The sequence below is a fragment of the Homo sapiens genome, chromosome 2 (assembly GCF_000001405.40).
Source record: "Homo sapiens chromosome 2, GRCh38.p14 Primary Assembly".
In the NCBI taxonomy this organism is placed as follows: Eukaryota; Metazoa; Chordata; class Mammalia; order Primates; family Hominidae; genus Homo; species Homo sapiens.
Genome location: NC_000002.12, coordinates 84835398 through 84855429, shown reverse-complemented (window position 1 = coordinate 84855429; position 20032 = coordinate 84835398). Strand labels below are relative to the sequence as shown.

Here is a 20032-nt window from a genome sequence, read left to right as displayed (position 1 = left end):
TATAATGTTCGGCAAGCACTAATGTGAAAGTAGCAATCTGTGTATCTTACTTACTGTGTTTTCCAAGGGGAAAATTAAGTCCCTTTAGTTTTTGCACCGTAGGAAATGCCATATCAGGGGTGTTTTATCTTAGTTGTAATATTTCCAATAGTTCTTTTCTTGTGGTCTCCTGTATCTTGCCCTTCTTGAAATCTACACGAATGCAAATTAAAAGAGATTTGAAATGAGGCAATTGGTATTTGGCCTATAAAGATGAGCATTTTCTGCTTGTGGACGATTTTAAAGTCCATTCTGTGGGGTAGATGTACTCTTTGAATGTAAAGCTGATGATTCAGCCAGTGCCATATCATCGAGTCAGGTGTCCACTCAGGTGTAACTGGCATGGCTTGGGGAGGGAGGGGGCACGTGGAATCATGTCCTACATAGGGCTGTCCCTTCAGAGGCTGTGGTTTGGGTAGGGGTTGGTAGAGGAAGGGCACAGTGATTTGACACCTTTGGTACACCCAGTAGGAGAGAAAGGTCTGTAATCCAAGGATGGTTTTGTGGAGCTTTTCCCCAGAGGTGGACCTGACACCATGATCTCTGGGGGGGCAAGGGGCATTAGTTAACAGGACAGGAAGGGTGAATTTGAGGCTGTCTGTGCATCTTACCTGGTGGTGCTGTCATAACCAGGACAGGGCATTCAGGAGAAGTAGGTGTATTGCCTCTCCTTGCCTTAGAGTTGCATGGGTCTGGGCAGTCAGGCAGGTCTTGCCTGAGGAGAGGTTGGCTTTAGAGGCCTGGGAGGCACCAAGGCCAGTCTTCCTGCCTATTGCCCTGTTATTCTGTGCAGTTTCTCAGTGGAGAGTATCAACTTTGGAGACCGTGGATCTGGGTTTGAATCCTGGCTCCCCCATTTCCTAGTATTGTGACCTTGGGTGAGATATTGAACCTTTCTGAGTCTGTTTTCTTATTTCTAAAAGGGGTATGATGAAACAAACATTGTCAGTTTGTAGTAAAGAATAAATAGAGAACCTTTGTAAAGTGCCCAGTGCATAATGTTTTGGTAAGTTTGCTGTTGCTTTTGCTCCATCCACTGTAAGTGGTTGGGCTTACTCGTATCTAGCCTGTACAGTTGTCCCTCAGTATCCATGGGGGATTGGTTCCAAGACCCACTTGGATACCAAAATTCAAAGATGCTCAAGTTCCTGCTATAAAATGGCAAGTTGCATTTGGATATAACCTACGCACACCCTCCCAAATACTTTGTCATCTCTGCGTTACTTACAATACATAATACAATGTAAATGCAATGTAAATAGTTGTTATACTGTATTTTTGTTTTTAAAAATTGTATTATTTTTATTTTTTCAAATATAAATAATATATATTTATATATAATATATGAAATATAAATAAATAAATATTTTTTGAGATGGAGTCTCGCTCTGTGCCCAGGCAGGAGTGCAGTGGGGCGATCTCTGCTCACTGCAACCTCTGCCTCCCAGGTTCAAGTGATTCTTCTGCCTCAGCCTCCCAAGAAGCTGGGACCACAGGTGTGCGCCACCATGCCTAGCTAATTTTTGTATTTTTAGTACAGATGGAGTTTCACCATATTGGCCAGGCTGGTCTCGAAATCCTGACCTTGTGTGCCTTGGCCTCCCAAAGTGCTGGGATTATAGGCGTAAGCCACTGCACCCATCAAGGCTGGAAATCTTAAATTGAGGTATTGGCCAGTCAGTGTTCTCTCTGAAGGACCTAGAGGAGAATCCCCCCTTCCAGCTTCTGGTGGTTGACACCTATCCTTGGTGTTTCTTGTCTTGTAGGAGCCTCACTCCAGTCTCTGCCTGATATGGTTTGGCTGTGTCCCCACCCAAATCTTACACTGAACTGTAGTTTCCATAATCCCCATGTGTCATGGGCGGGACCAGGTGGGAGGTAATTGAATCATGGGGGTGGTTACCTCCATGCTGTTCTCCTGATAGTGAGTTCTCATGAGATCTGATAGTTTCATAAGGGGCTTTTCCCCCTTTTGCTCAGCACTTCTCCTTCCTGCTGCCATGTGACGAAGGACATGTTTGCTTCCTCTTCTGCCATGGTTGTAAGTTTCCTGAGGCCTCCTCAGCCCTTCAAAACCGTGAGTCAATTAAACCTTCCTCCTTTATAAATTACCCAGTCTTGGGTATGTCTTTATTAGCAGCGTGAGAACGGACTAACACACTGCCTTTGGCATCACATGGTGTTCTCGGTGGGTGTTTCTGCATGGTCTTCCCCCTGTGGGTGCCTGTCTTTCTGTATCTAAATTTCCCTTTCTTATAAGGACGCAGTCATATTGGATTAGAACCCACCCTAATGATCTTAACTTAAATATATCTGCAAGAGCTTGTTTCCAAATAAGTTCACATTCATAGGTCCTGGGGGTTAGGATGAACATATCTTTTGGGTGGGGGGAAAAATTTAACCCACAACACCCTCTTTTGCCCTCTCTAGTGGTTCCACAGCTGGTTAAGGAGATGATTTTCAGATTGACCTGTCTTCTGTGTCCTGCAGTGACCTTTACCCTCCTGGGCTAATGGAAACTTCTCCCATTGGGAGATCTATTCTTCTTTTTCCTTATTTCCTTCTGGTCTTGCCATTGGCCCAGGAGGCTCTGGCTTCCATCTAATTCACTCAGGGAGCTGTCACTCTGCACAATGGAGATAAAGGTCTCATCACTGGGCCTTTGGCTGCTCCTACATTGGGCATATGGGTCATCTTTGCAGTTGTCACATTCCTGCTGCCCTCTGGGGAAAGCCTGGTGGCTCTTGCTGAGGTGCTGGAAGCACCTCCAGGTACAAGCTGCAACACCCTCCTCCACCCTGCCAACAGCCCCTGAGGACATATTGGCCCTGCTGCTGATAGCCAAGCTAGCAACTCCTGCCACCTCATGGTCATTCTGGCCACCCCTCCCCCCAGCCCATGGTCATTTTGGCCATCCTCCCTCAACTCTGCGGTCATTCTGGCAACCCCTTCCCCAATCCCATGGTCATGCTGGCATTCCTCCCGTAACCCCATGGTCATTCTGGCAACCATCCCCCACCGCATGGTCATGCTGGTTGTGCTTCTTCCTGGACCCTTGGTGGCTACTCCTGTCCTTGCTGCATTGGTCTGTCCTGGGTCTGCAGACTTGGTTGCTGCTACACTAAGAGAGCCTGCTGCAGTGCCTGTGTCTACCTGTGCTGCCACCCCTGTTGTCCTTTGCCAGGCTTCACAGGTTTATGACTGTAGAAGAGTATGTGCTGGGGTAGCTATACTGGCTGTTCCATGAATAGAGTTTGTGTGTGGAGGTTACGTTGGTGTCCCTCCCCACAACATAACCAGAGGAGATGACTCAGACATCTCAGGGACCACGTGGAGCCTCCTGATGCCAACCTGATCCTGACCCCCTTCTCTATGGAGCTCCACAGCCTGTGCCAAGGGGAGGAGAATCAAGCAAGGCAGAGAGGTCAGGATGGAGACCAGAGAGCTCTGCTCCCATTGCTTCTTGAGATGGAGCAAATTAACGGCTTATAAATGTAATTACATTTGAGGTCATCAAATCCAATCTTCCATTCAATGTAGGAATCCCATTTATGGTCAATTCAATTTTGACTGAACAGCCCCAGTACCAGCAGAGCACCATTACAGTTCCCCAGGGAACCTCGTTGAACATGTGTATATTACATACTTGTGCTGGTATTTCTATGGGGGAGACATTCCTAGAAGTAGGACATGCACATTTTCCATTTTGACAGCTACTACTAACAAATTATGCATGTGTGCAAACACACAATGTACTGATATATGCAAATGAGTACATGGCAGTCATGGACAGGGAACTCAAAAAGAAAGGACTTTCTAATAGTTAAAAATGTCTTACAAGACATTTTACAAGTGAGTGACTTGAGAAGGTAAGTGTTCAAAAAGAAGAGCTTGGATGGTTGGGATGCTATGGGGGGATTAAGCATTGGGTAAGAGATTAGAACAGCTGACATCTAAGGTCTTAAATTCAGCCTTCTGGTACACTCTAAAAAAGCACTGAGACTCTCACCAAGGTGACATCACCCACTGGTGGCTCATTTTTTTCTGGGTCCTTCCAAATGCAATGCCTCTTTCAGGTAAGCCTCAGAGAACAACAGCTGTGTATGACCCTGAGCCCATCTCCTTGAGTGTTTGCAGAGACTTAGACTGGGCTGTGCTTGTCCTCTGCCATAGATACAGACGTCCATTGTATCCCTAGTTGGGATGGCCTGGATTTTGCTGGGACCCTCCACTAGTGGCCTCCAATGATAAAGAGTTTTTCTCAATAAATAAGGCCTTTCTGTGTATCTGAAGCAGACACTTTTGCAGGTAGCAAGAATGGCAAGTAGCAAGCTTTAAGCATAGCTACTGTTTCTTATAGCACAGGACAGGACAGGACAGGACAGAAATCTTTATAGACTTCTAGGGAAGCAGCCTGGTTAGTGCTAAGGTCTTGGAGGTCTCTGGCTTCTTCCCCTAATGGCCTGGCCACATCCAGCAGGCTTTTCACAGCCTGTGGCTGGTCAGGCCAGCAGCATGATGTTAGGTGGTGGAGGAAGGGGCTGGTGGAAGCCATGGCCACTGTTACCATTTGGATGCAGTTCTGCACATCAATCACTTCTCTTTTGCTAATCAGGATAATGTTGCTCTCAAACACTCTCCTTCCTTGGATCATTGTTGCTGAAGGCCCCCCATGGAGGGGTTGAGCATGCCTACTGCTTGGCCATCAGGAGCTGGTAATACAGTAACATAGATTCACCGTTCATGGCGCCACCTGTTTTTTGATGAGGGGAGGGGCAAACTATAGTTCTAGGGCAAGGGAGTGACTGAGACAGCTCATCTCTCTCTGGGGCCTCCACCTTGACCCCAAACTCCTACTGAGTGTTTGCATTACCCGCTACTGCCCTCTGTGACTGGTTGCTGTCACACGCCCATTGGTTCTTGCCCCCTCTCCAACCCAAGAGCTACTCTGTCAGGGTAGGACCACCACCATCTTCTTCCCCAAGTGCAGTTCAACCTCCTAGAGGACAGGCGGACTCTGTGGGGGTGGAGGAAGGGTGAGGAATACTATTATTATTATTGTGATGATTATTATAATTGTAAACCCATCCTGCTAACAGCTTTGAGTACTTTGCTGTCCATCTCCTGGATGCTCAGAGTTCTAATATTCCACCACACTTCCTTTTGTCCTTTTTTTCCCAGGGGATTGTGCTTTTCCCCCAGGTGCTGTTGAAAGATTGACAGTGAGTGACAAGGACCTAGGTGAAGGCATTTGCTACCTGGCAATTTTTTGTTCAAGAGAACCCGTTGGAGGTACATCAGTGTTAGTAGCTTGGCAAGACGGCATTAGAGAGGAAATCTCCTTGGAACATTCCACCAACTGGACTTGGAAACTTAAAATGTGAATTTCTTTTGAAATAATGTTTTAAAGGGTGATTTCTAGGCTAGTCCATAGAAAGGCTTATGTTTCTTTGGAAAAACCGTAGAAAACACTACGACTGGCGGAAGCATGCTGGCCCATTCTGCCAACACCTCAACAGCCCACATCCCTTCTGGCGAGAGTGAGTCAGACTCTAAAAGCTATGGTGCAGGGAATTGGCATTCAGACACCTGTTGGCGACTTGAGCCAGCAATTGATTGCAGTGCAGCAAGACCAGCACCTCTCTAAGGCATTTTTTTATTTGCAAGAGTTGGACATGTCGGGTATTCATTTCTTCAGGTTCTTGAGGCTCTAACTCTGACAAGTCCTGTCTGTGGTTTCCAGCCTTGCCTGTGTATTGCAGTCACCTGGGGGTGGAGGTAGGTGGAGATTCATGAGAGCATAGCTATGATTACAGAAGATGCCCATCTGGTGTACAAGCTGGTGTACAAAAGAGCTGGTTTACAAGCTTGGCTTGGTTTATATGCAGCAATTACTCAGCATGGAGCAGCCCTGGATGCACGATGTGAGCTGGTGCCTAAGATGAAGGGAAATAAGCAAGCTTATGGGTGGGTAGATCATGCCAAGGTTTATGTCAACAATGAAGTGGTGGAGAATGAGTTGCAATCTGTGGTTTGGGAAATATTGGCTTCGAAGGCCTCAGGGCAAATCAAATCATCTGGGTGTCTGGAAGAGGAGGCTGGTCTGAGATCTGGGAGAAATGAGCCCTGAATCCTTACAGGATTGTCTGAAATACTGAGCTGTAGAATTCTGCTTGGGTTTCTCCTTGGAGTCAGCCAGGGGCAGCCTGAGCCCAGAGCAGAGGTCTCAGGACGGCTTTGGGTTGGGACAGTAGGGGATACATCTGGGGGTCTGCAGCAAGGGGTTTCCTAAACTGCTTTTTCACTTAAAAGACTGCAGGGAACCTTGATTTTGTCCCTTTTTGTAGTCAGAAATTTTCCTTCTCCATTTCTGTGATTTGCCTCAGTCATTGATGTTATCCTATGGCTAGGATAGCTCGGGCTGCATTTCCTTCAGAAACAGTGAAGGCTACTCGTTCACCAGACTTGGGCTTTTTATTTCCTGCTTGTTTTATCTTACATTATAATATATAGTTTCAGGACCAGGCAGTGGCTTACACCTGTAATCCCAGCACTTTGGGAGGCCGAGTTGGGTGGATCACTTGAGGCCAGGAGTTCAAGACCAGCCTGGCTAATATGGCGAAACTCCGTCTCTACAGAATTACAAAAATAGCTGGGCGTGGTGGTGGGTGCCTGTAATCCCAGCTACTCGGGTGGCTGAGGCACAAGAATCGCTTGAATCTGGGAGGCAGAGGTTTCAGTGAGCCGAGACCATGCCATTGCACTCCAGCCTAGGTGACACAGCAAGACTCCATCTCTTTCTCTCTCTCTGTCTCTCTCTCTATATATGTAATATATATAAAATATATAATATATAATATAAATTATATATATAAAATATATTTTCAGTATTTGTTCATGGAAAGGCTTTTATTGACTAAAGCCTTTGTTTGAGTTTTATTGGCCAAAGCAGCAAAACGAAAGTGGAGACTATCTATCTGTCTGTCTGTCTGTCTGTCTGTCTGTCTGTCTGTCTATCTATCTATCTATCTATCTATCTATCTATCTATCTATCTATCTATCATTTTTATGTGCAGACAGCATCCATGGAAAGAGATACAATGTGTTGACAGCAGTGGTTGCTGATTGGGGAACGGGAATTGGAAGGCAATCTATTTCTTTACACTGTTTAAAATTTTTACCATATGCATACTGTTAGAAAAAAAGGAACGCTGAGATCGACATGTGTTATGGGTTGAATTATGTCTTCATCCCCAAATTCTTACATTGTAGTCCCAATCCCAAGTATCTCAGATTGTGACTATGTTTGGAAACAGGGTCTTTGCAGGTGAGGAAGTTAAGATGAGGTCATTAGGGTTGGCCCTACTCAAAAATGACTGTTCTTATAAAAAAGGGAAATTAAGACACAGAGATAGATACACATGTGGGAAGAACACTATGTAGATCGGAATTATGTAGCCACAAGCCAAGGAACCACCAGAAGCTAGGAGAGAGGCCTGGAATAGATGCTTTCCCAACTTCTTCAGAGGGAGCATGACCTCGTCAACACTTTGGTTGCACACTTCTAGCATCCAGAATGGTGAGGCAATACAATTCTGTTGTTTAAGCTACTCAATTTGTGGTATTTTGTTATGGCAGCCCTAGGAGCCTAACACAACACATGAAAAACGTTAACAGAAACTGTAAAGGAAGGATTTGAATGGAGAAAGGGAGGCACAGTGGGAGGCAGTGAGCACTGGCCGGGTGGATCCATCCAGGACCCTTGTGCCTGCTCCTTTGCCTTTCTCCCCTCCTGGCCACTGTCCCCAGCTCCTGGCTGAGCATACTGCTCATGGCACCTGGCCTTTTTGGATCTCCAGGAACAACAGTCCTTGTACCCCAGGTGTGTTCAGCTGATTCATGTGAGGTGACTTAATCAGTGACAATGCCCCATTCAGGATGGCCCTCCTGGAAGACGCCCTGGGGTCAACTTAACTGGTGGGAGTTTCTGAGCAATTCTCTTATCCACAAGCCACATCCTGAAACCCCAAATTTGTTAGACTGGTTCAGACTTCTCCAAGCACAGCAAGGAGAGTAAATTATGTAAGGATGACTGACAGTCATTAGTTCTATCAGAGAGGGGTCCTTCAGAGATGCCATAGTAGTTTATGAGGATGCTATATCTGGGCCTCAGTCATTTGAATGGGAGTGAGTTTAGGGTTGTGCATTGCTCCTGTGGTGCCCATGGAGATTTCCCTTGGAGCACCGCCCTGCCCTGGACTTGGCTCCTCACTGGAGAGGGAGTTACCTCCTCTAGCTCCACAGATGGCTACCCATGGCCTGACCAAAGGTTCACTCCAAGGGAGGCACCTTCAGCAGGGCCCTGCCCCTGCCCAGCTTCCCTCCAGGGCAGCCTGAGGCATGGACTACTAGGTCTGGGCAGTGCAGGTGATAAAGGGCTGCCATCTGGAGTGGGACAGCTGGATAGCAGTGACCTGCCTCCCTGGTTTGTGGTGGTAGTGTGCGAACAGGCACCTTGAGTCATCAGGGGAGTATTCTGGCTCCAAGGAAACCCTGTAAGGACACTTTGATCCCACTCAGAGACTGTTTCTTCAGGAATCCGTCTTGGGTCTTTCTCCAAGGAGTCTGTTTCAGTGAGGGCTTTGCCTTGCTTAACATAAACAGTGCCCCAGAGACTTCCCCACATCTCAGCTAAGCCAGCGAAGGAGGGATTTGGGGTGGGCTGCCTTGTCTGATGACCCCAGGCCAAGCTGTCTTTGAGGCTCATCATGGAGCCTTCCTCTGACTTTCATTGACTGCGTCTCTTTGGACATACAGCGACCACTGTGTTTGGTGTTTGGCACCTGCTGGTGAGCACAGTGGGGGCAGGATCCTTGCTCTTCTCAGCCAAGGAAATCCAGCCCCTTCTACCTCATCACTTAGCTGGTCTCTCGAGGCACTGTATCTCTTGATCTTTTAGGTCAACGGCTTATCTTGTGCTGGGTTTTAATCTGTGAGAAGCTTAAGGCCTTTCATAAGTAGTTGGGGTATAAATAAGCACACATGAAAGCCATGCTTCCCCTGGGTTGTTATTTGGATCATTGCAGCAGCTCTGAAAGGAAAGGCGTGTGGTGATTACAGGAAATCATGCTAGAGATTTAAAAAGTACATTTCTGTGGTTTTTAGCAACAAAAGAAAGATTCAGCACTAACTCTGATGCACAGCCCACTGTTCAAACTTCCTTAAAAGAAGAGTGTTTATAGTATGGTCTCCTCACCATAGTGCTCAGTGACACAAGGTGACCTCCCTCCCCTCCAGGAAAAATAGAAAGCAATGACCCTGGGATGATCAAGGGTTTTGATTTGCTTGTGTATGTGCTGTCCTGGCAAGCCTGAAATCAGAGAGTTTAACTTTGGGCCTCTGCCTTTCCTTCTCCTCCCAGAAGCTTCTATGATACACTAGACCTCCTTTCCACCCATCTTTTCAAGATTTTTCTTGAAAAATGCCCCCTTTTTCAGGTAAAATGAAAGCTCCATTAAAGGCAAGGATCTTGTCTTGTTCATGACTGTATCTTCAGTGCTTGGAACAGTGGGCATATAATAACTATTTATTGACTGAATTAATGAATAGAAGGGATGAATGATTGAAATTTAGGATCATTTAGTACTGTGACTTGCCTTGATTCTGTCCTTGATTAGTTGACACAGAATGAACTCTCATGATACCCTTCATCATCCCTTATGCCCTTCCATTCTTGATGTTCAGTCTATCAACCACTCAGTTTCCAGAATCCTAGAGTAACTCAGGATCACAGTTGGCATTTTGCTACCCTTCTTCCCCCGCCCTTGTCTCCCCCAACTTTGCTGTTCCCAGGCCTTCTGGTCCTTGAGGACCACAGGGCCAGAAACCTGTCACTGATGAACACCATTAGCCAGGTCACTGTCCTAATGTCCATCTTCCACCAGGGATTGTGTGTAATTCTCAGTAGGGGAGTACCTGATATCTTAAATCATTATAATGCACAAAACTCTCCAGTAGTCATTTTATTTATTTATTTTTTGAGAAGGAATCTTGCTCTGTTGCCCAGGCTGGAGTGCAGTGGCACAATCTCAGCTCACTGCAACCTCTGCCTCCCAGGTTAAAAGCGATTCTCGTGCTTCAGCCTCCCAAGTAGCTGGGATTACAGGCACCTGCCACCATGCCTGGCTAATTTTTGTATTTTTAGTAGAGACAGGGTTTTACCATGTTGGCCAGGCTGGTCTTGAACTCCTGACCTCAAGGGATCCACCTGCATCGGCCTCCCAAAGTGCTGGGATCACAGGTGTGAGCCACCGCGCCTGGCCTAAAGTTCTTATTTAATCTGTGATGTGGCCCATACACAGTCTGCCCCAGTTTGCAGACTGACATGTCTGTTACAATGGGTAACTCAATCTTCTCCAAATACCAAGAAAACCTTAAGAAAGAAAAATGTTTCAAAATTAATGGACACTCTTTGAGGAAGGTATTTAAGCACCAGGTAACCTGGGCTTGTGCTCAATGCCTTTAAGAGAATAGCAAAGCTCATCAGCAGGTATTTGTGAGCCAGTCAGACTGAGGATTTGGCTTGGATGAGTTAGATGGAGACAGAATATGTGGGACTTGGGCCTGGGGCCAGGCATACCTGATAGGTGTTTCATAATGCCCCTCTCTCTTCCCTCCCAAACCTTTGAAGGTTTGTTCCTCCAGCTGATCTGAAGTCAGTTGGCAATTCCCAGTTGTTGTGGGTAGGCCCTAATTGTATGGCTTTAGAATGCAGGGGCTTATACCTGTGGAAGGCTGAGTTGTCTCATTTAGATCAGTTTGCAGACAAGCACCCGGGTGTATCTGCTTTTCTGGCAAGGCTGTGATCCCACATGTACCAGTCTGTTCTCACACTGCTAATGAAGACATACCCAAGACTGGGTAATCTGTAAAGGAAAGGGGTTTAATGGACTCACAGTTCCACTTGCCTGGGGAGGCCTCACAATCATGGCGGAAGGTGAAGGAGGAGGAAAGGCGTGTCTTACATGGTGGAAGGCAAGAGAGCGTGTGCAGGGGAACTCCCCTTTATAGAACCACGAGACTTATTCACTATCACGAGAACGGCATGGGAAAGACCTACCTCCATGATTCAATTACCTCCCACTGGGTCCCTCTCACAACACGTGGGAATTCTAGGAGCTACAATTCAAGATGAGATTTGGGTGGGAACACAGCCAAACCAAATCACCGCATGACCAAGCAGATTTGTTACCTGCTCTGGCTTGTGACCAATAGAGGGATGGGAAGGATGGGAACACAGTATGGTCTAGAGGGTACCAAGACAGAAGAGGCTATTGTGCAGAACCTTGGGGAGACGCCTTCCAGAGAGACTGGAGGTGCCTCTGCCAGAGAAAAGGAGGAGGTATTGAGAGAAGAGAGGATGGAGGGGTTTTACAGAGAGATCTGTCTCCTTTGGTTAAGGTTGCATCACAGGCACAGGAAATATTAGAGTAACTGAGGGAGGTAAACTATGTGGAAGGAGGGATGCTGTGGTTTGAATGTGTCCCCTCCAAAATTCAGATGTTGCTAGTGTGATGGTATTAAAAGGTGAGGCCTTTAGGAGGTGATTAAGCCATGAAGGCTCCTCTTTATAAGGACCTTTTTGGGATTAAGACTCCTCTTTATAAGGCCTTTATGGGATTAAGGCCCTAATAAAAGAGGTGTCATGCAGCCATTCAGTTAGCTTGCCCTTCTGTCTTCTTCCATGTGAGGATGCAGCAAGAAGGCCCTCACCAGACCAAAGGCCAGTGCCTTGATCTCGGACTTCCCAGCCTCCAGAATGGTGAGAAATATATTTCTGTTCCTCATAAATTACCCAGTCTCAGGCATTTTGTTGTAGCAGCACAAATGGACTGAGACAAGGGGTACGCAGTGGGCCTGTGCCACCTTGGCCCATGGGAGGCAAACCAGGAAGCCTTGTCTCCTCACCACTCAGAATGAGGAGAACATGTGAAAGGAGAAAGGGGTTGGGGCTGGGTAGGGTCATTTGCTGACTTAAGACCTCTAATGCGTTGTCTCTGGAGAGTTGAAACATCTTGCTAAAGACCTCATAGTCAGTCTTTGCTGCAACACAGATGGACCAAGCCTGTCTGTATTGCAGCAAAGAGTGAGGAGATATTCCAGCAAAGGCAGCATCCTGTATGCTGATTACTGGGGAAGCACAAGAAAGGGGAGCTGTCAGAGGCTATAGAGCTGCATCTGTACCTGGGGAAAGTGAGAGAGAAAATTCCACGGGTTGTAAGTGTTGTCTGGAGCCTCGTAGGGGGTGGCCAGCCCCACTACCCACCTGATACCAGGAACCCTACCTCCCCACCTCTGACCCAGCTCTCCAGTGCCCAGGAGAATTCCCTGCTTTGTAAAATGAATTCTCCTGGACACTGGAGATCTGGGTCAGAGCTGGAGAGATAGGGTTCCTGGCATCAGGATCTTGAATCTGGATTTTCCCAAAATATGTTTCAACAAAGCTTTCTCTTGTGATGTATGCCTCAAATATGTTTGGGAAACCTGGCATACTCTGTTCCCCATCAAGGAGACCCACATCGCACATTAGTATATTAAAGACTCTGAGAAGTTCTGTAAAATTAAAACCTGTTTAATTTTCTTTTCTTTTCTTTTTTTTTTTTTTGAGACAGAGTCTCACTGTCATCCAGCCTGGAGTACAATGGCACAATCTTGGCTTACTGCAACCTCTGTCTCCTGGGTTCAAACGATTCTCTAGCCTTAGCCTCCCAAGTAGCTGGGACTAGAGGCACATGCCACCATGCCCAGCTAATTTTTGTATTTTTAGTAGAGACATGTTTCACCATGTTGGCCAGGCTGGTGTTTAATTTTCTTTAGCCTTCATTTCCCATTTTTTCACATTAACTTCCCTTAATATCCCATGGATCTAATGACGCCATTAGCTGGGAATGCTGCATTGATGGTTAGAAAAGATGTGGATAATGCACTGGTTTCTGCCCAGTCCTTTACATAATTGGGACCCACTGGTAGGTGTGTCTGTGAGTCCCCAGCCCTCTCGCTGCCCCACCTCCTAGCTTCTATTCCTCACAAGCCAGCTCTTGGGTTCCCTCACCTCTTGGTCACACTCATGGAAGAGTTCCAGGTTGTCTGTGTCCTCCATAAGGCAGTTCCCTAGGTGTGTCTGATTGGGGCTGATTTGGGAAGGACTGTTCTCCTTTTCTTTGGATGCTGTCCAGGGATTTGTGTTCCCTTTTTTAAGTAGCACTATCCACGTCCTTACATAACGAGCACAAAGGTGAAGGTATTTCCAGCCATGGACAAAAGAAATAAGATGGCAGCAAACAGTTGCCTTGTTAGTGAACTTAAAAGAGACCTTTCTTTTAGGTCATCTTTGCTTTGAACCAGACCCTCCTGCAGCAGGAAAGCCTGCGAGCAGGCAGTCTTCAGATCCCCTACACGACGGAGGATCTCATCAAACACTATAACTGCGGGGACCTCAGCTCCGTCATCCTCAGCCATGACAGCTCCCAGGTGAGCACCCTTTCCCCCTGCCAAGCTCAGCACACATTTAATTATAGGAATAAAAACATTACCTGGCAACATGTACATCCTGTGTACAAAGGATTGAGGTCATGAGGGCTCTAGAAATAAAGTGGGCAGATTTAGATGTCATTGAATGAGGCACTACAGCGAATGAAAGCTTTACAAACCTTGTAAGAACAGAGAGGGGCATTGATGAGGGTTAATTCCAGTATTCCAGCCAAAGGATGAAGCTTCAAAGGATTTAACAGTAGGCCACATGAACCAGCCTTGAGGAAGGGAAGGGTTCTGAGTCTGATGGCCTCCTGGCTGACTTAGGTCATACTTTTGCAAAATGATGGGGCAGAACTTTGACTGCAGCTTCAGTGGCCTCTAGGAACATGTGAACATGATATAGCTGTGTATTCACAGAATGCTTACAGGCTTAGGGCATCAGAGCTGGGAAGGCTGCTAGCATTTGCAGACGTGGATCATTGCATCCTGTGGTATTGCAGGATGAGTGTGGCTGAGCTGGTGGATTGAGTGTTTGCCCAGCTCAGGCCTTACCTGTGGGCCATTGAGTGGAAGGAAGTAGCTGCTCAGCCTCAGAAGATCATGGTCTCCTTCCAGGAGGGAAGTGGTACGGATCTTTGTTATGCTTTTATCAACAGGCTTCCCATGGGACAAGCCATGGTGCCTTCGCCTCCTCTCTAGGACTACATGCAAATAGCAAACACCAGCTAAACTTCTGAGGTAGGGGAGTGTGTTGTTTCCCCCACCCAGGACTGGTGTCCACATGCATGAAGACACTGGAGAGGGGAGACAGGAGCTAGTGGGTGTGGGTGATGCTGTACAGGTCTATGTTAAATCTGGGGACCCAACCATAAGGAGACATGTGTGAACATGAGAGCTGAAGGAGGAATAGCAGCAATGGGGAGAAGGACAGTACAGGCTGAGTGCAGCATCAGCCCAGAAAGGTGACATTTCATTAATGACAGAAGCCTCAAAAGATGTAAGGAGCATCCCCAAAAATCTAGAGGAAAAAAAAGTCAAATTGAGACAAAGTGAAGCAGGAGGAAAGGGAGAACAAGAAACACATTAAAGAAGGAAAAATAGAGTTGGTGGTGGTGATAAATCTTACCTGCACTCTTGCTGAGGGTAGGGAAGGGGGGAGAAAAGTCAAGATCAATTGGGAAATTGACATTTGAAGCAGCAGAAAAAAGTTAATGTGGGCGGAGGATTTGGTCATTACGTGGGCAAATGGTGAGGCTGATGGAGCAGATAATACAGATGTCTTATGCATTTTTCTCCTGTGGCTTTCCCATATCTGTTCTGCCCACAGGGCCCCTACAGGAGGTCAGGGAATGTGCTGTCACTGTGAGTGAGGGCCAGGCTGGCCAGCAGGGAGTGGTGCAGGCTTTGGGTGATGTTTGGAATTTAGAAGGTGGAGCAGGATGTCAGAGGGAGGTCACCCTGTGTATCTGACGCTGCCTCTGTAGAGAGGCTGGTAGAGAGGGGGGCTCTGCTGAAGAGAAGAGATTTTGGGAAATGGGCAGGGGATCTTACATAAATGACATGATTAAAAAAAAAGATGACAGAGTAGAAGATGAAGGCTGTCGATTTGAAAATGAAAGAATATCATTTCGAGGCCGTCGCAAAAGGAGATCTGTTATCCATAAGATGGAAGTTAATGCTGTCACAGAGTCTGAGGACTTTGGAAAGCTTTTTGAGAGGCTACTGGAAGCAGCAGCAGCAGGCAGGGTAGATACTGACCAAGATAATGGGTAACATTGTTAAGTCCCTGGGTGGAGGAGAGAGCATGCACCCAGGGGGAGGAGTGGGAGGCTGAGGTTTGGGAAGCCAGACAGCTGAGGGGGTGGGGAGAAAACACAGAGTGCCAGCCTTACCTGTAGCTCCTGGGCTGCAAGAACCACGCTGATTGTCACAATTTTGATGCACTTTCATCCTGTTATTAGCCAAAATACTGAAACTGGCTAACATGTATACCAGAATCAGTGAAATATTTGCCAGGAGGGCAAAGAACATTGGGGAAAGCAAGAGAGAGAAATAGGAAGTGGAGAAATAATGAAAATGTAAAGTAGAGGATTTATAAAACATTTAAGTGTTTATACAAATTTCATGTTTTCGGTAATAGAATCTAAAATATGTAACTATATAAGACTATTTTTATAAGAAAAGCATGTATGAATCACACAAGTTAAAACTATGGATGTACTGTGCAAAGACAGTGTCCTTTTTTTTTTTTTATAAACACACGGCATCAGACAGAGCCATTTAACTAAAACAGAAGTGCAGTTGTAAATAGTGTAAGAGTTCATTCAATGCACTTCACTTAATATTTTTTTCACTTTGGTTACAGGGAATGTGATAGAGTGGGAAACATAGCAGACAGGAAACTCCAAGAATGGTGTCACTCTTCTCTTGACAACGTCTTGACCATCTAGGTTGGGGGATTTGATGCTCCAATGAAGTAACTTTGTTAATAACTCTGTTGCCCCTTATTTTTTTTTCTCTTTATTTTGGTGGAGGTTCCCAATTTTATTAATGCCACGCTACCACCTCAGGAGCGCATCACTGCTCAGGAGATTGACAGCTACTTACGCCGGGAGCTGATCTACAAGCGGAATGAGAGAATAGGGAAGCGGGTGAAGGCCCTTTTGGAGGAGTTCCCTGACAAAGGCTTCTTCTTTGCCTTTGGAGCTGGTGAGTAGTGGGTCACCTCTGATTAGCCTCTGAAATCTGAGGCTTCTCCCAAGAAGGGAATGTTGAGGTGAGCCCCTGCTTAGGGCCTGTGTTAGTCATGAAGCGAGATGAAGGGAGTGACACCTTCCTTGACTTATTTCAGTTGCAGAGTGGCTCCAGCTGGGGATGGAGCATCCAGCATGGTTGAAATGTTGCTGGATGAGCTGGTGCATGTGACATCACCCATAGCTCTCTCCACACATAAGCCAGCTGGGAAAACATTTTTGTCCTCTGAATTTCATACTTAATCCCAACTTCTTTCTGGTACTTTTCACTTTGTAAACTTTCACTACAAATATGTTTGTCTTTACTCTTCTACCTGACAATGAGCCTCCCAAGTCCAAGGCCTGGGGCTGATACATCAGCTGTTATTGACTGTTAGCAGCACACATGGAGACAGAATAGGACAATTATTTTCTTTTGTGGGCTTCTTGAAATAAATTCTCTCCCCCGGAGTGACTCTGACACAGAATTCTTTGCAGCCTCAGGAAATGAGGATAGAAATGCCAGAGGCTGGACAGTATGCAGAAAGATCATTTGCTGGGCTGGGCTTTGTTTCATATTTTTCTGCTAACTTCATAAACTTAAACAAGTCATGTCACTCAGTTTCTTTACCAGTAAGATAGGGGGTTGGAGAGAAGCAATTCTGAAATGGTGGAGTGAGGGCCTCCAAAAACCTGTTCTTCCATAGCAGCAATAAGAACACTGGAAAAAATGGTCAAAATCAACTTTTCCACAGCTCTGGAAATTAATTAAAGGCTTGCAACAATCCTAGAAGTGTTTATTTAAGAAAACTGGATGAATTTTGATAGAAGCAGTGGGCTTTGTGGCATTTTAACTTGTTCTGTTTTTATCTCCCTTTTCCCAGCTTCACAGTAGCCTTGAAAATCAGGAGCCTTGAACTACAGTAGCTGTGAAAACTGTTTGCCTAATGGTTACTGGAGGGGACAGAATGGGTTCAAAGTTCCTCCAAAGCTCCATCCTTAAAGAATCATCACTATTTGACATGTCCAATAGTTCCCTGAAATTTCCATTCCCAAGCTTGTCTTCATTTGACCTGACTCAGAGCTTGCTCTGTGTGAATAGCCCTATTCTTAGGGTGTGTGTTGAAAACAATCAGTAGCAGCTGTTTAACATCATAGTTGCTGGAAATAGCAATATTAATTGAAGCTTACAAGGGGCTGCCCAAAAAACTTAAAAGCAAAATCCCATAGGGGGTATAGAAAAGCTCTAAAATATTCCTAGAGAGTCACATGCATGAGAAGAGCTGTGCACATGCCCAGGAAAGACCTGAGAAGGTCCTAATCTCTCACCTCTGGCTGATCTTGAGGCTCTGTGTAAGCAGAGTGTGAAAGCTAAGGCAAAGTCATAAATTGCCTGTTGAAGCATCAAATACATGCCCCCAAACTCACACAGCCCCTCTGCAAAGGTTGGGAAACTTGCAAGGAATTTAAGGAAATCTCTGTTCAGTCATTAGCCAGCCACTAAACTAACTGAGCAGATCCTTCAGTGATCACACACAACAAAGAATACAGACTTTACAGACTTAGTCCTAGAAAATCACTACACAAACAGCAACAACAATGCACCTGGGACTAAGGGAGAGGAGATGAGTTCCAGAGTTGGTATATTATTTAAATGTCTAGTTTTCAATAAAAACAATTATAAGACACAGAGCAAAACTAGAAAGTATGGCCCATACCCAGGGAAAAACAAGCAACCAATAGAAGCTGTCCTTGAGGAAGTTAATATCTTGGACTTACTAGAAAATGACTTTAACACTAGTTATTATAAATATGTTCAAAAAACTAAAAGAGGCCAGGTGCGGAGGCTCACGCCTATAATCCCAGCACTTTGGGAGGCTGAAGCAGGTGGGTCACCTGAGGTCAGGAGTTTGAGACCAGCCTGACCAATATGGCAAAACCCTATCTCTACTAATAATACAAAAATTAGCCAGGCGTTGTGGCGCACACCTGTAATCCCAGCTACTTGGGAGGCTGAAGCAGGAGAACTGCTTGAAACTGGGAGGAAGAGGTTGCAGTAAGCTGAGATCACACCACTGTACTCCAGCCTGGGCCACAAGAGTGAAACTCCATCTCCAAAAAAAAAAAAAAAAAAAAAAACCCTAAAATTAACCATATCTAAAGAATTAAAGGAAAGTTTGAGAACAATATCTCACCAATACAGAATATCAATAAAAATATAAAAATTATTTTAAAAGAACCAAATAGGAATTCTGGAATTTAAAGTGTAGGAACTGAAATGAAAAATTCACTACGGGGGCTGAACAGTAGATTTGAACTGGCAGAAGAAGAATCAACATACATGAAGATAGGTTGATTGAGATGATTCAGTATGAGAAAGAGAAAGGAAAAGGAATGAAGAAAAATGAATAGATCTTCAGATACCTGTGAGACACCCTCAAGTGTGCCAATGTATACCTAACGGGAGTCCCAGAAGACAGGAGAGAAAAAAAGAAAGAAATAAAAAGAATATTTGAATTTAAAATTGCTTGAAAATGTCTCAAATTTGATGAAAAATATTACTCTGCACATTCAACCCATGAACTATAAGTTGTATAAAATCAAAAAGTTTCACACCAAGGCGTGTCATAGCCAAACTGTCAAAAGCCAAAGACACAGAATCTTGAAAGCAGTGAGAGCAAAGCAGACAAGGGATCCCCAATAGGATTAACAGCAGATTTCTCATCAGAAGCCATGCAAGCCAGAAGGCTATGGGAGACATACTCAAAATGCTGAAATAAAAGACTGTCAACAAACATTTCCACATCCAGCAAAAATCAAAAACGAAGGAGAAATCTGTTGCATGTGAGCTGAATAGAATTTGTATTCTGCTGTTGTTGGATGAAGTATTCTTTAAATGTCAATTAGATCAATTTGATTGATGATGCTCTTCAGTTCAACTATATTCCCTATCTGATAATTCCAGAATCTCTATCATGTCTGAGTCTGGGTCTGATGCTTTCATTGTTTCTTCAGATTGTGATTTTTCTTGCCTCCCAGTGTGACTTGTAATTTTTAATTGAAAGCTGGATATGATGTATTTGGCAATGGGAAGTGAGGGAAATATGTTTTTAGTGTGAGGGTTTATGTTAATCTTTCTCAGAGTTGGGCTGTTTAATGTTTTGCTGTGGTCTGAATGTTCCTTAAAACTTGTGTGTTGAAACTTAATTATTATTGTCATGGTATTAAGAGGTGGGGCCTTTGGGAAGTGATTAAGACATGAAGGCTCCACATTCATGAGTGGATTCATGCTTTTTAAAAGGACTGGAGGAAAGTAGTGTAGGCTATTTTTTTGCCCTTGTGCCTTCCACCATGTGAAGATATAGCATTAGCCCCTCCTGCCATGTAAAGACTCAGGAAGAAGGCCCTCAGCTGGACATGGTGGTGCATGCCTGTAATCCCAGCACCTTGGGAGGCCATGGCAGGAGGATCACTTGAGCTCAGGAGTTTGAGACCAGCCTGGTCAACACAGTGAGACCTCATCTCTACAAAAATTAAATAAAAATTTAGCTAGGCATAGTGATGTGTGCCTGTAGTCCCAGCTACTTGGGAAGCTGAGGTGGGAGGATCACTTGAGCCCTGGAGGTCGAGGCTGAAGTGAGCTGTGAACATGCCACTGCACTCCAGCCTGTGTGACAGAGTAAGACTCTCTGTATTAAAAAAAAAAAAGGCTCTCACTGGGCACTGAA

At 45.4% G+C, this 20032-nt stretch overlaps 1 protein-coding gene across 4 annotated transcripts in view, besides 2 other annotated features; it reads left to right on the top strand.

Moving 5' to 3' along the window:
* Window positions 1-20032, top strand: part of TRABD2A (TraB domain containing 2A) — a 59419-nt gene that overhangs the window by 25655 nt on the left and 13732 nt on the right. Inside the window, exons 3-5 of one of the 4 annotated variants that reach the window (NM_001307978.2) lie at window positions 13423-13569; window positions 16107-16281; window positions 17189-19511. In NM_001307978.2, coding sequence (NP_001294907.1) covers window positions 13423-13569; window positions 16107-16281; window positions 17189-17199 — 333 coding nt within the window. In that variant the 3' untranslated portion in view covers window positions 17200-19511. Of the gene's footprint in view, window positions 1-13422; window positions 13570-16106; window positions 16282-17188; window positions 19512-20032 lie in introns of those variants that run through there. The other 3 variants (NM_001277053.2, XM_047443257.1, NM_001080824.3) reach the window with 3 other exon arrangements.
* Window positions 7908-8407: an enhancer, noted in NCBI's record as "H3K4me1 hESC enhancer chr2:85074147-85074646 (GRCh37/hg19 assembly coordinates)". NCBI's record gives its function as "activates a minimal SCP1, AML or CMV promoter by ChIP-STARR-seq in primed H9 embryonic stem cells {active_cell/tissue: H9 hESC(primed)}" and the evidence as "EXISTENCE:reporter gene assay evidence [ECO:0000049][PMID:30033119]".
* Window positions 8408-8909: an enhancer, noted in NCBI's record as "H3K4me1 hESC enhancer chr2:85073645-85074146 (GRCh37/hg19 assembly coordinates)". NCBI's record gives its function as "activates a minimal SCP1, AML or CMV promoter by ChIP-STARR-seq in primed H9 embryonic stem cells {active_cell/tissue: H9 hESC(primed)}" and the evidence as "EXISTENCE:reporter gene assay evidence [ECO:0000049][PMID:30033119]".